General features: G+C 50.1%; 1 protein-coding gene and 1 pseudogene across 2 annotated transcripts, besides 3 other annotated features; one reads left to right on the top strand and one right to left on the bottom strand.

Moving 5' to 3' along the window:
* Positions 753 to 3,794, bottom strand: CHAC1 (ChaC glutathione specific gamma-glutamylcyclotransferase 1). 2 transcript variants are annotated; one of them, NM_001142776.4, is made up of 4 exons: positions 3,451 to 3,794; positions 3,002 to 3,037; positions 1,851 to 1,892; positions 753 to 1,715 (listed from the first exon to the last, which is right to left on the bottom strand). In NM_001142776.4, exons 1-4 carry the CDS (start codon positions 3,679 to 3,681, stop codon positions 1,491 to 1,493), a joined length of 534 nt encoding a protein of 177 aa, NP_001136248.2. In that variant the 5' UTR covers positions 3,682 to 3,794; the 3' UTR covers positions 753 to 1,490. The 2 variants fall into 2 exon arrangements, with proteins under 2 accessions (NP_001136248.2, NP_077016.3); NM_024111.6 differs by having other exon boundaries at positions 753 to 1,892.
* Positions 1,016 to 1,566: an enhancer, noted in NCBI's record as "H3K27ac-H3K4me1 hESC enhancer chr15:41247897-41248447 (GRCh37/hg19 assembly coordinates)". NCBI's record gives its function as "activates a minimal SCP1, AML or CMV promoter by ChIP-STARR-seq in naive H9 embryonic stem cells {active_cell/tissue: H9 hESC(naive)}" and the evidence as "EXISTENCE:reporter gene assay evidence [ECO:0000049][PMID:30033119]".
* Positions 3,992 to 4,585: an enhancer, noted in NCBI's record as "NANOG-H3K27ac-H3K4me1 hESC enhancer chr15:41244878-41245471 (GRCh37/hg19 assembly coordinates)". NCBI's record gives its function as "activates a minimal SCP1, AML or CMV promoter by ChIP-STARR-seq in primed H9 embryonic stem cells {active_cell/tissue: H9 hESC(primed)}" and the evidence as "EXISTENCE:reporter gene assay evidence [ECO:0000049][PMID:30033119]".
* Positions 4,061 to 4,320: a silencer, noted in NCBI's record as "silent region_6354". NCBI's record gives its function as "represses an Ori minimal core promoter by ATAC-STARR-seq in GM12878 lymphoblastoid cells {active_cell/tissue: GM12878}" and the evidence as "EXISTENCE:reporter gene assay evidence [ECO:0000049][PMID:35858748]".
* ISCA1P4 (iron-sulfur cluster assembly 1 pseudogene 4) lies at positions 8,316 to 8,965 on the top strand (annotated as a pseudogene).
* The last annotated feature ends 4,157 nt before the right edge of the window (positions 8,966 to 13,122 follow it).

Here is a 13,122-nt window from a genome sequence, read left to right as displayed (position 1 = left end):
CCCATTCTGCAAGTTCAGGGATTGAGTAGCACTAAGAGGCCACTCCTGATGAGGAGCTCAGGCCCAGGCTGAGATCCTGGAGCTGTGATCTGTCCCCAAGGGCTAGACAAGAACATCTGGGGACAGGCAGGGGGTAAACTTGGGGCCCGCATTCCAGTGTGGGTAAACCAGGGCAGGTGATGGCAATGGGGAAGGCACAGGCAACACCACACTCCCGGAGGCAACAGTGAGCACTCAGACTCTGAAAGTAAAAGGGACACCAGGTCCTCCAGGCTACAGGTCCCTGCCATTAGCCTTGCCTTAGAAGTTGTCATCACCCTACCCTAACCCACGTGCTCCTTTAGCAGGACACCAGGGTTCTGGCCTAGCTGTTAGGAAGAGGCAGCCGCTGGCCCTGCAGCTGGAGGAAGAGCTGGTCTGAGCTCCAAGCCTGCCAGCCTCCTTGGGGCAGCTGGGCAGGATGAGACAGAGTCCAGGTTGGTGGCAAGGACACTGCTCACAGGGCTGCCAAGTAGAGCATGAGCTGAATTCTGCACAACTCAGGGGGTACTATTTGCATGCGTAAGGCATGAACTGTACCCATGAGAGTGATGTCACCTGCTAATTCTGCCTGCCCAGCTGCCCCTCCTGGGAAGAGAGGGAAGGAGAGGAAGAGGGAGCCCTTTCCCCTCTTAGGAGCCTTCCAGGGCATCACCACCTCACTTGCCCCAAACCCCCATCTGAGAAAGAACCACATTCCGGCACAGCACAGATAAAGAGATAGTTTTATGGGTAACAGTATGGGACAGACTGGGAAGGTTGCCAGGGCCTGTAGTGATGAGCTTCCCAGGAATAGACCAACACACAGGCAGGAGTGGCCCAGACAGACAAGTAGATAGACAGACAGACAGAGGGACAAGAAAACAACCAAGTGGGTAAGAGGCCCAGGCCAGGCTCAGCAGCTGTGTCCAGGCATCAGCTCCAGCTCTGCTCTGGGGAACTGGTGGAGGAGAAGGGCTGGCCGGGGCCTCAGTCCTTACAGGGCTCCTTCTCCTCATGCCCTACTATCCCTCATCCAGCCTGCTGGGATCCTTGGCAGGTGGAATTCCCAGGGCTATGGATGGCTGGGCTGAGTGAGCAGAGGATCGAGGCTCTTGGAGACTCCCTGGGGAGGTGGAGGCCTGGGTGGTGTGGGGTTAGCAGCAGCACTGGGGGGAATCTGGTCAAGTTCCAGGATGGGGCCACTGCTCAGCAGGGCCCCTGTGTCCAGGGCAGGCCCTCCACCTGCCCACCACACCAACATGGTGCAATAAATAAAGTTTCAAGTAGTAAGTCAGTGTCAAGCAGGAGAGCTGCAGGCTGGCAGACAGGCAGGGACTGAGAAAGAGAAGCCTCCAGCCACCCACCATATCTGCTCAGTGGGCTCAAGCGGTCGCAAGTCTGTCTTGTGCACTGGAGTGGGTGTCTGGCCCTGATGTCCACATGAGCACTCCCCGCAGGGGCTCAGCCCCTCACACCAGCGCCAGAGCCTGCTCGGTGGGGCAGAAGCAGGGCAACATGGTGCCCACAGCGTCCACGATGGCTGCCAGGTGCTCGTCCTGCGCCTGAGGCCCACAGAGCTGCATGAAGTCTGCCAGACGCAGCAAGTATTCAAGGTTGTGGCCGGAGAAGCCCCGGCAGGCCAGGATCTGCGTGGCAATGGCCTCTTCAGGCGCAGGGCCCAGGTAACCAGGGTTCTGTGGGGTGGCCACATAGGCCAATGCCTTCAGTGGTTGGTCAGGAGCATCTTGGGGATAGAAGGTGACCTCCTTGGTATCGTAGCCACCAAGCACTGCCTCTCGCACATTCAGGTACTTCAGGGCCTTGCTTACCTGCTCCCCTTGCACTTGGTATGCCACGCCCCAAGTGCAGCCCTGGGAAGAAATAGGGACACCCGGGGTCAGTCATGACAGCTCCTTGCTGCTCCCTCTCCTATCCTAACATGCCACCCCCACCCAGGACTGTGCTCTATAAGGGAGGCTGTGGTCGGCTGATGAGCCATCTGGTGGCAGTACCTCAAGCCCTTGTACTCTCTTTGTTAAGAACAGTTGAAAGGCCAGGCGTGGTGGCTCATGCTTGTAATCCCAACACTTTGAGAGGCCAAGGCAGGTGGATCACTTCAGGTCAGGTGTTCGAGACCGGCCTGGCCAAAATGGTGAAACCCCATCTCTACTAAAAATACAAAAATTAGCCAGGCATGGTGGCGTACGCCTGTAACCCAGCTACTCGGGAGGGTGAGGCAGTAGAATCGTTTGAACCCAGGAGGTGGAGGTTGCAGTGACTTCAGCCTGGGTGACAAGGGTAAGACTCCGTCTTAAAAAAAAAAAAAAAGGCATAGTTGAGGCCAGGTGCAGTAGCTCATGCCTGTAATCCCAGCATTTTGGGAGGCTGAGGGTGGGCAGATCACTTGAGATCAGGAGTTCCAGACCAGCCTGGCCAATATGGTGAAACTCCGTCTCTACTAAAAATACAAAAATTAGCTGAGTGTGGTAGCGCATGCCTGTAATCCCAGCTACTCGGGAGGCTGAGGTGGGAGAATCGCTTGAATCTGGAAGGCAGATGTTGCAGTGAGCCAAGATTGCATCACTGCACTCCAGCCTGGGCAACAGAGCAAGACTCTGTCTCAAAAACAAACAAACAAAACAACAACAACAACAACAAAAAAAAAAAACAGTTGACAAAGTGGTCTAGTACCAGGGAAGACAGGATTCCTCCTCAAAGTGTGGTCCAGGATGTGGTGGCATCACCTGTAAGCTAGTTAGGAATGCTGTGTCTCAGGACCCATTCTCATGCTACTGAACTAAAATCTGCATTCTAACAAGATCCTCATGTGATTTGGTGAGAAGCACTGAGCTAGAACACGTTTCTACTCTGCCAGAGAAGCATCAGACAGAGCTAGCCTGCAGCCAAGAGCCTATGAGCTCTCTCTGCTGGTCCCCCTTCACACTGGGCCAGGGTTCCCCTTCATGATTCGGGCACTTACCTCATGATCTTCAAGGAGCGTCACCACACGGCCAGGCTAGGGAGGGAAGAAATATTTTGAAATAGACAAGTTAGAAATCAGCTCTGCCATCAGCAAGGAAACCTTTATCAATCCCGCTGACCCGGGCCTCCAAGTGCCCCACTCTGCATGCTGAGTCCCATTCATGCAGGGGAAGGTGGGGGAGCGATGCACGGATGTAGGAGAAACGTCCAGAAACACTGACATGTCAGTGGTCCCAGTTGGTGATCAACACAGGGATCCACAGGTTCACAGACTCCAGCCATCACAGTGATGCACTGGGCACATACATTTAAATGAGCCACAAACCCCAGACACAGGTTTACACATTTCTTTCTATTGGCCCAGAGAGCCCCGGACATTCCAGGGCACTGGCGCCCAGTATCCCGCCCCCAACCCCCTCACTCCCCTGGGCACGGTTGGATGCTCACCATCTTGTCGCTGCCCCGATGGAAGGTGTCTCCCTGCCAGAAACGGCGGCTGTAGCCGCGCACGAAGCCCACACGGCTGTCGCTGTAGGCGAAGTCGGGCCTCCACACCAGGGAGCCGTACCCGAAAATCCACAGCGCTTGAGGGTCGCCGTCGTTTCGGGGGAACTGAGCGGACGGCGTAGGGGACTGCGAGGTGGGCGGGGTGTTCGGGGCTGCAGACTCCTGCTTCATGGTGCCTGGCACAGGGATAGGCCCAGGCGGCCTCCGGGGCTGGTCTCCGGCGTGGGCACGGAAAGACCGACGGACGCACACACCTGGCCTGGCACCGCTCGGTAGCTCCAGCTGAGCGCCCCCCATGGAGGCGCCCTTTAAACCTTCTTGCCGGGAGACCACGCCCACCGCGGCCAGCTGCCGCGGTGATTGGGGTGGGGCAAATCCCCTTTTGGCCAATCAACTTCGGATTCTGCTTCTCACTTAACCGCGCCGCGGGCCCAGCGCGCCCGCTGATTGGTTCAGCTCCACCTCTGTGGCAAACCTGGCAGGAGTGATGCAACGGCAGGGGAGGTTTCTCCAGCGCCGGCATGCAGCAAGGGCGCCTCGGATTGCGTCAGGCGGCGGGCAGGGGGCACCCGCCGGGCCCAGGGCGGGCACCGGGCGGGCGTCTCCCCAGCCGCCCCCTCATGACCTGGGCCCCTTGGAGGTACGGCGAGCGAGTCCCAGGCGGTGTCAGCCCAGCCTTGCCGCTAGTGCATCTGGCCGAGTCCCTGCCAGCCTAGGCGGCACAGACTCAGTCCCAAGTCGAGTCCAGGGCACGTCCAGAAGGAGCGCTCTGGGCGTCGTAAACTTCCGTCTCTGGGGCCCCTCCTGAGATCATGCACTGCGGGAAAGCTGTCGGAGGCACCGTCCGCATTCCGCTCAAGTGCCTCACGCCGTTGGCCATTGTGAGCAAATGGAGAAACTGGGCCACGGGGCTGCAGGGGGTTCTGCAGAGACTGCGGGGCTGAGTTAGGTAGGCCAGGCGCCCGGAGCTTGCAGGCCTCACATGGGCTACGCCCCGGACCAGGTGTGGGACCCCTCGAGCCCAGGTAGGCTCGGGGAAGAGCCTGTTAGAGCGCTTGGACCGACCGGCAGTCACTTTGGAGGTGGTGGCTGCACCTGCGGAGAAAGGCTATAAAGATGCAAAAGCCAGGCTAGTCTTGCCCCCAAGGCGATGGGTTTAATTCTTCCTGGACGTGAGATTTTGCAGCAATGATTAATCCATAGGCACAAGGTTCCGGGAGCAGCGGGCAAGGAGGGCCCAGTGAGGCCCCCACAAGACTATGGCCAGCTACTGGTCTTCTCCCTCGGCTTCTGGCCTCCCAGCCGAGTCCACAGGCCGCCGGGGGTTGACCCAATACGCAGCAAGGGACTGCCCTCAGGGGATGTCACTGACTGTAAAAGGGAAACAGAGGCAGCTGAAGGCCTTCTCTCTAAACTGGCCAGGAGATGGCTGGCAGGGGCAATGTGCAACATGGCTTCTCATTCGATTCTAATTCAATATTTAAACTAAACGTGATCTTCACACTTCACATATTCATTCCGAAGGTGTCGCAGATATAAGTGGGAAACTTGCACAACAGTGTGTATAGTACAAAGCTATTTCTTTAAAAACAAAAAGTATTCGTGTAATAAATAATCTGGAAGAATATACCTAAACAGTTAGCAGAGGCTGGCACCAGAGGAGGACTTTCAGTATCAAACTTAAACAGTAATGAAAAAGTCTGGATTTTTACAGGGAGCATGAATTACTTTTCCAATCAGGAAAAAAAAAAAATTACCAGCAAATGGTCCTTTCTGGTTATTCCTTTCTTTTTCGCTTTCTCTCCATTTCCCACATTCAGTCTCCCTCTTCTCTTCTATCCTGTCCCCTTTCGTTCATATGAGCACCTCCTTTGTTGGTAGCTTCTTAGAAGAATGTCCTCTTTTCCACTCACCAGCTGTGGGTTGTAGTCCGGGAAGTGGGAAACTGGTATCCACATATTGCTGAAGTATCTGAATTGGCACAAACAACCCTTTGAGAAAGCAGCTTGGTGATACAAGTCAAGAATCACAAAATATCCCTGCCCTTTGACCCAATACTCCTTCAGGAAATTATTCAAAATACGGGAAAAGCCATATGCCTGAAGATTTTCAATGCATTGTTACTTTTTTTTTTTTTTTTTTTTTTTTTTTTTTTTTTTGAGGTGGAGTCTCTCTCTGTTGCCCAGGCTGGAGTGCAGTGGCACAATCTCGGCTCACTGCAACCTCCGCCTCCCAGGTTCAAGCGATTCTCCTGCCTGAGCCTCCCGAGTAGCTGGGACTACAGGCACCTGCCACCACGCCTGGATAATTTTTGTATTTTTAGTAGACACGAGGTTTCGCCATATTGGCCAGGCTGATCTCAAACTCCTGATTTTGTGATCCGCCCACCTTGGCCTCCCAAAGTGCTGAGATTACAGGCGTGAGCCACCACGCCCGACCTTTACATATTATAGCAAAAACAAAAGAAGAAAAACTACTTAAATATCCAAAATTAGCTAAATGTTTAAGGAAATTATGTCAATTTACCATTCACATGACAGAAAAATGTGCACATACACACACACACAAACACAAAGAAAACAACCTAAATACCCAGCAATAGATAATTAGTTACATAAATATGATATAGTCCATTAAATTTGTGCAGACATTAGAAACAATATGTATGTTGGGCCGGGTGCAGTGGCTCACGCCAGTAGTCTTAGCACTATGGGAGGCCAAGGTGGGCAGACTGCCTGAGCTCAGGAGTTCGAGACCAGCCTGGGCAACATGGTGAAACCCCGTCTCTTCTAAAAATACAAAAAAAATTAGCCGGGCATGGTGGCAGGTGCCTGAAATCCCAGTTACTCGGGAGGCTGAGGCAGGAGAATTACTTCAACCCAGGAGGCAGAGGTTGCAGTGAGCCAAGATCCCACCACTGCAGTCCAGCCTGGGCAACAGAGCACGAGTTTGTCTCGGGAAACAAACAAACAAAACAAACAAAAAAAACGTAGTAAACATGTGTATGATTGCATATTAAGGCAAAAATGCAAAATATAAATTTTCACATGAACTATGATTAAAACTTAAAAACAGTAACAATAAAGATAGGGAGGCAGCAAATACTAGTGTGTTGGGATTGTGAGCAATTCTTTCCTCTATTTTCCAAGTTTTATGAAAAGTAATTTTTAAATAATAATAAGTTAATTTTTGCTGGGCGTGGTGGTTCACACCTGTAATCTCAGCACTTTGGGAGGCCAAGCAGGAGGATCACTTGAGCTCAGGAGTTTGAGACCAGCCTGGGAAACATAATGAAACCTCATCTCTACAAAAAAATTTTTAAAAATTAGCCGGGCTTAGCAACATGCACCTGTAGTCCCAGCTACTCAGGAGACCGAGGCAGGAGGGTTGCTTGAGCCCAGGAGGTCGAGGCTGTAGTGAGCCATGATTGTGCCACTGCTCTCTAACCTGGGCAACAGAGCAAGATCCTGTCTAAAAAAAAAAAAAAAAGTTACTTTTAAAGAGTCATTAGTGGTTTTCTGGAGGGGGAGGGATGGATAGCATACCTGAAACATTTAGGGAACATTTTCATGATGCCCGTTCTCAGACCTCCTCCCACCCTGACCAAAGTCCCAGTGTTTCATAACTCTTTTGGCAATGTCCTCAATAACCTGATCTTGCTCCTGGCAGAGTCAGACACTCCCTCCTCTACACTCCCACAACACTTTACGCCACTGCAGTTTACTTATCTGTCCCTTCCAACTCGTGCTTACAACAGAAACACTCATTTATTATGTGTATAACATGTGCCAGGCAATTTGCTAAACGCCTTTACATCATCCATTCTAATTACACATTTCTTCACTACTTTGTGAGGTAAATATCATTTCACAGATAAGCATGCAGGAAAGCTAGGTAAACCCTGTTGGTGACGTGGCAGAAAGTAGTGGAGCCTGGATCTGAAGGCAGCTGGGCCAGCTCCAGAGCCTCCTTGCTGGGAATCGTTTGCGTCCTGCCTCTCACTCACCTGAGCACTTCCCCAGAGTATGGTTCATGGTTGAAGGCCCAAGAGAACCAACACAAGCCAGGCATGTGGAAGATCCTCCACAAATATAGGTAGAATAAGTGAGGCTATTGCTTGGAAAAGGCCAGGGCTATATCCCATGTCCTGTGTAACACAAGTTCAACCTTGACCCTCAAAATAGGAATCTCCACAGAAGCTGGCCCAGGGGATCTGCAATGTCTCCCTGGGAACATGTCTTTCCTGTTCCCATTCCTTGCTTATTCTTGCCAACAACATCTGTCTCTTTTCCTCCCAGCAGGACACTCCCAGGCAGCAAACCACTCACTTAGCTGGTTCCTCTCTGTAACTTCAACGGCAAACCCTTCCCGTCTTTCCTTCTAACGCCCCACAGGAAGGGGCCGCCGATGTCATACCCACAGAGGTGCCAGTTTATGAGCAGCGATGGGCCCAGGCATCACCTCCACCTTGCAGAGTCGCACATGATGTGCACGTGATGTGCACGTGGTGGTTTCCTTTTTTAGATCTTTCCCAAATTAACGTTTCCTTGTTGTTCCCCTCCAGGTGGCTACCTCTCATCTCCTGAGGATCTGTTCCTTCTCTCTTCTCTTACCAGAGATTGGCATCACCTCCTGGTGTTAGTCAGCATGTTTATCTGAAACAGTGGAAGGCTGTTGTAGGAGCTAGGGAATGATGCTAATTCATATGCTAAAGGATGAAGTTGCCTTATAAAGCTGCTGATTTCTGAAGGATGAAAAACCTTCCCAGAGGCCTGAGTGCGCTGTGTGCCGGAGCTTGTGGCATCAATGGGCCTGCTGTGTCCAAAGAAAGAGGCTGAGGCAGCCGAGCTCCGGCCTGAAGCACCTGGACCAGACGACAAAGAGGTCGGCTTCCTTAGTCCGGAGGACTGTCCGGACTGTGAGCAAGAGGAAGCTACAGCCCACGAGGGCCACCCGCAGCCTGACACCTTCAGCAGTAAACAAGATAAAATAACTTCTTCAAGATAAGCCTGAGTATTAGGTGTAAAAGTTGGTGTCCGAACCAGGGCCTGTAATGACCTTTCTTATAGTCTAGAATAAACGAAGACAAGGGAGATTTCGATGAAGAAGTCATTCAAGATGGAGTCAGAGTGTTCATCGAAAAGAAAGCACAACTAACACTTTTAGGAACAGAAAGACCATGCTGAAGACAAACTATCCAGTGAGTTTGTGTTCAATAACCCAAACATCAAAGGAACATGTGGCCGTGGAGAAAGCTTTACTATTTGACATCTCAGGACGCCTCTGACCATAAGCTCTGGGAAAGCTCCTGGAAGCCCTGGGGCTCACAAATAAATCATATGATTGTCACGTGCTTAATGTGTGCCTGCCTTGTGAGGAAAATATAAGTGATGCATTTTGGAAATGTGCTAGATTCCAGAAGAAATGATATTTGTAGTCTCTGTAAGGGACAGAAAATGAGAAGCCATCACTCTCTTTGGACCATTTAACTCTCTTGCATCCTTTGTTTTAGAACCAGTTTCATTAAAGTTGTCTTCCTGGGCCCCTGTTTCTCCATGTCCTGAGCAGTGTGCACTCATTAGGTCTCTGTTGGATGGCCTGAACGTGCATCTCCCTCGACATTTCTCCCAACCAGATTGGGGACTCCTACAATTCAGTGACAGGACGTCCTGACTGCTGGTAGTAACATGGTGGTGCCTTGTTTTTCCACCCAAACTTAACACAATCTGTTTACATTTTTATCAAAACTTTCTTTTTGTTGTTGTTTTTTCTTTTTTATCAAAAATTTCATTGTCAGATGCCTCACTGCATACCCTTTAATAGTACCGGGCAAAGATTTCTTTGAACTATAGTACAGAATAGTTCTGAGTGATGGTATCAAAAGGTGAGAAAGACTTCATCCATCTCTTTTTTAATCCATTTCTTTTGCCACCCTATATGTCTGCTCAAAGATGGGATCTCAAGCTGACTTTTAGTTGAGGGGTCTCTTAAAAGCCATCTAGGCCACCTCTCTCAATTCTGTACACAAGGAAGCAAAACCCCAGGGAAGGCAAAGGGCTCCTGTCCGCTCCCACTCCACAGGCTCGGGGAGAGCAGGAACTCTACCCCCAACTCCCCTTCCTTGTAGATGACACATGTGCTCTGCCCTCCAAGGCAATCAGTGAAGGCAAATGGTCTGGCTTGTCTGGTCAACATTTTGATATAATTTCTTTACAGTTTTATGGAGATCAGCTGGGTGCGGTGGCTCACGCCTGTCATCCCAGCACTCTGGGTGGATCACTTGAGGCCAGGAGTTTGAGACCAGCCTGGCCAACATGGTGAAACCCTGTCTCTACTAAAAAATACAAAAAACAAAAATTAGCCAGGCATGGTGGTGGAGGTTGCAATGAGCTGAGATCACTCTACTGTACTCCAGCCTGGGCAACAGAGTGAGACTCCATCCCAAAATAAATAAATAAATAATATATACATATATGTGTGTGTGTGTGTGTGTGTATATATATATATATATGTACACACACATATACATATGTATATATACACATAAATAAAATTTTATGGAGATCATATATTTTTATTTTATTTTGAATAGGAAAAATATTTTAAAACCCTTTTATGTGAGTTACTTTCTTGTTTCTTTAACCTTTGAAACAATGGTTTGTAGCAGAGAAGACATTGTAGCAACCTAGAATTATGCTTTTGGAATGTGGTCCTAATTGTGAAGGAGAACATGGGGATCTTTTCTTAAAACGCTACTATGCATACACTTTCTGCGTGCTTTTTTTGAAAGCTGGTTCTCATGGAAATCAAGTAGCTGAGTTCCATTATTTTTGTTTTACCTACTAAAGTAGCTGGCACAAAAATGCACCAAAACTGCCGGGTATGGTGGCTCACACCTGTAATCTCAGCACTTTGGGAGGCCGAGGCAGGCGGATCACCTGAGGTTAGGAGTTCAAGACCAGCCTGGCCAAGATGTTGAAATCCCATCTCTACTAAAAACACAAAAATTAGCTGGGCATGGTTGCACATGCCTGTAATCCCAGCTAGCTACTCAGGAGGCTGAGGCAGGAGAATCACTTGAACCTGGGAGGCAGAGGTTGCAGTGAGCCAAGATCGTGCCATTGCACTCCAGCCTGGGTGAGAGAGCGAGACTCAATCTCAAAAAAAAAAAAAAAAAAAAAACCAGAGGAAAAAAAAATGCACCAAAACCTAAAGCAGCAGTTTTATGTAAACATTCAAGAGTTTGCATCATTAATATAATTGTTGAGCCACTTATAATTTGGGCAAAACTGTACGTACGTAGAGATTCAGTTGTCAATTTTAAAAATGTGGTCTCTCTGTGATCATAAAAAAAAAGAAGAAAAGAAAAGCCTTCCCAGACATTGCCTCTAAGTTCACCTTGCTCAGATTTGAGCTCAGCTCCACCACGTACCAGCTGAGTGACCCTAGGCACGGTGTCTTTAGTTCTTGGTTTTCTCAACTGTAAAGAGGGAATAGGTAATAGAATTGACCTTGCAGGGTCTGAAAAAGATTGAAAGAAATAATACCGTAGGCAGTACCCGTCACATAGGAACACTCAGCAAATGTTGACTTCTTATTCTCTTTACTTCAGACAATTTCACTTTCCGTTTCATTCAAGGCAGAGCCATAAGTGAACCTCTCATTCTGAAATAGCTCAGAACAAAGTCAGGAGGGAGTGATCAAGGTAAGCATTTTAGGATCAGTAGAGGAAATCTCCAGCTATCTCACTCTCCATCCTCGCCATGCAATTCACAGATTGTTCTAGCAAGTAGGGTGCCAAAGAAATGTGGAGTGTTTTGAGACAGGGTCTTGCTCTGTCATCCAGGCAACTGAAGTGTCTCAATCTCGGCTCACTGCAGCCTCAACCTCCCGGGCTCAAGTGATTCTCCCATCTCAGCCTCCTGAGTAGCTGGGACTACAGGCACGTGCCACCATCCAGCTAATTTTTGTTGTTGTTGTTAGAGACTGGGTTTTGTCATGTTTCCCAGGCTGGTCTCAAACTTCTGCGCTCAAGTGATCCGTCCACCTTGGCCTTCCAAAGTGATGGGATTACAGGTGTGAGCCACTGCATCCGGCTGTGTTTTTTGTTTGTTTGACACAGGGTCTCACTCTGTCCCCCAGGCAGGAGTGTAGTGGCACGATCATGGCTTACTGCAGCCTTGATCTCCTGGGTTCAAGCGATCCTCTCACTTCAGCCTCCCAAGTGGCTGAGACCTGCAGGTATGCACCACCATGCCCAGTTAATTGTTTTTGTTTGTTTTTGAGACAGGATCTAGCTCTGTCACCCAGGCTGGAGTGCAATGGCACAATCTCAGCTCACTGCAGCCTCTGTCTCCCAGGCTCAAGCAATCCTCTCACCTCAGCCTACTGATTAGCTGGGACTACAGGTGCATCCCACAACACCCGGCTAATTGTTTTGTATTTTTATAGAGATGGGGTCTCCCCATGTTGCCCAGGCTGGTCTTGAACTCCTGGCCTCAAGCGATCCACCTGCCTTGGCCTCCCAAAGTGCTGGGATTATAGGTGTGAGCCATCGTGCCCAGCCAAGGCATGTTTCTAAGAGACAGAATGGGTAATGGTCTTACCCAAGCACACTATTAGCAGAACAAACATCCTATTGACAGAACAAACAGTTGCTTGAGCCAAGAGAGATTTTCTGTGTATGCATAGGGTGAAGGTGCTAAAATAAATAAATTAGTAAATAATCCACCATCTATGAGGAACCATACCTCCCACGGACCTCTGAGAGGTAAGTGTGTCTGCAGGTCTTCAGGTCTTGTGCGAAGAGGACCTAGGTCCCACCGACATTCTGGCCAAAGGAGGGGCAGATGGAGTAGTGGATCCCTGCATACAGTCCTCCTCAGAAGAGGGAGAGACAGTCCCAGGCAGCTGTTCTGCAGGGCGTACCAGCCAAACCCAGGGCCAAGTGGGGAAGGCTGCTTGGCCATTGGTCCACGAAAGCAGGGACTGTAAAGATTCACTCATATCCTAGCAAAAGGGTGCCTGGGATGGCGGAAAAACCTGGCTTTCTGCCCATTTTCTAGCCTCCAAGGAGGTGGAGAGGTCCGGCTGACCAGGCACCTCTGGGGTGGCCGGTATTCCAGTTATCCAGAGCTCAGTCCTCGTCTACCTGGAAGGAAAGAAGCTGGGGTTCCAACAGAGGACTGGTGGGTGGTGCTCCCAATTCCAAGGAGACAGAAAAGTACAATTTGTGGGGACAGGAAGCAACCCATTGCAGGGCTGAGGAGAAGCTGTAGTGGGGAGCATTTCAGTGGGGCGACAGGGCTGTAAAGAGAGGAGATCCACAGGGTTGGGGTGAGCCTCAGATCTCATGGAAATGCTGTGGTGTAGTGGGACCTGGCTCTAGAAGAGAAGCCTCAGAAAACCTACATTGTGGAGAAGTCAAGGTGCTCACAAGGGGCCTGGGTGGTGGTGTAGATTCTGCGGCCCACAGGGAGCCAAGGCAGTGAAGCCCTTTAAATGAATGAGAGCAACTGGGATCCCTTCTTCCCTAGGGCCCACTGCTAATAGAATGGAGAATGTCCAGGGCCTTTCAGATCTCCTCTACCAGAGAGACAGAAGAGGAAGCGC

Source organism: Homo sapiens, chromosome 15 (genome assembly GCF_000001405.40).
Source record: "Homo sapiens chromosome 15, GRCh38.p14 Primary Assembly".
Taxonomy (NCBI): domain Eukaryota; kingdom Metazoa; phylum Chordata; class Mammalia; order Primates; family Hominidae; genus Homo; species Homo sapiens.
The sequence above is the reverse complement of the archived record's forward strand: the minus strand, read 5'-3'. Positions and strand labels throughout refer to the sequence as shown.

Bases quoted from the DNA above. Each gene is read 5' to 3' on its own strand.
- CHAC1 (NM_024111.6), bottom strand. From the start codon at position 3,681: ATGAAGCAGGAGTCTGCAGCCCCGAACACCCCGCCCACCTCGCAGTCC. The intron at 3,038-3,450 runs GTGAGCATCCAA...TTCCCTCCCTAG, and splicing joins ATCGGGGCAGCGACAAGATG to CCTGGCCGTGTGGTGACGCT. The intron at 1,893-3,001 runs GTAAGTGCCCGA...ATTTCTTCCCAG, and splicing joins CGCTCCTTGAAGATCATGAG to GGCTGCACTTGGGGCGTGGC.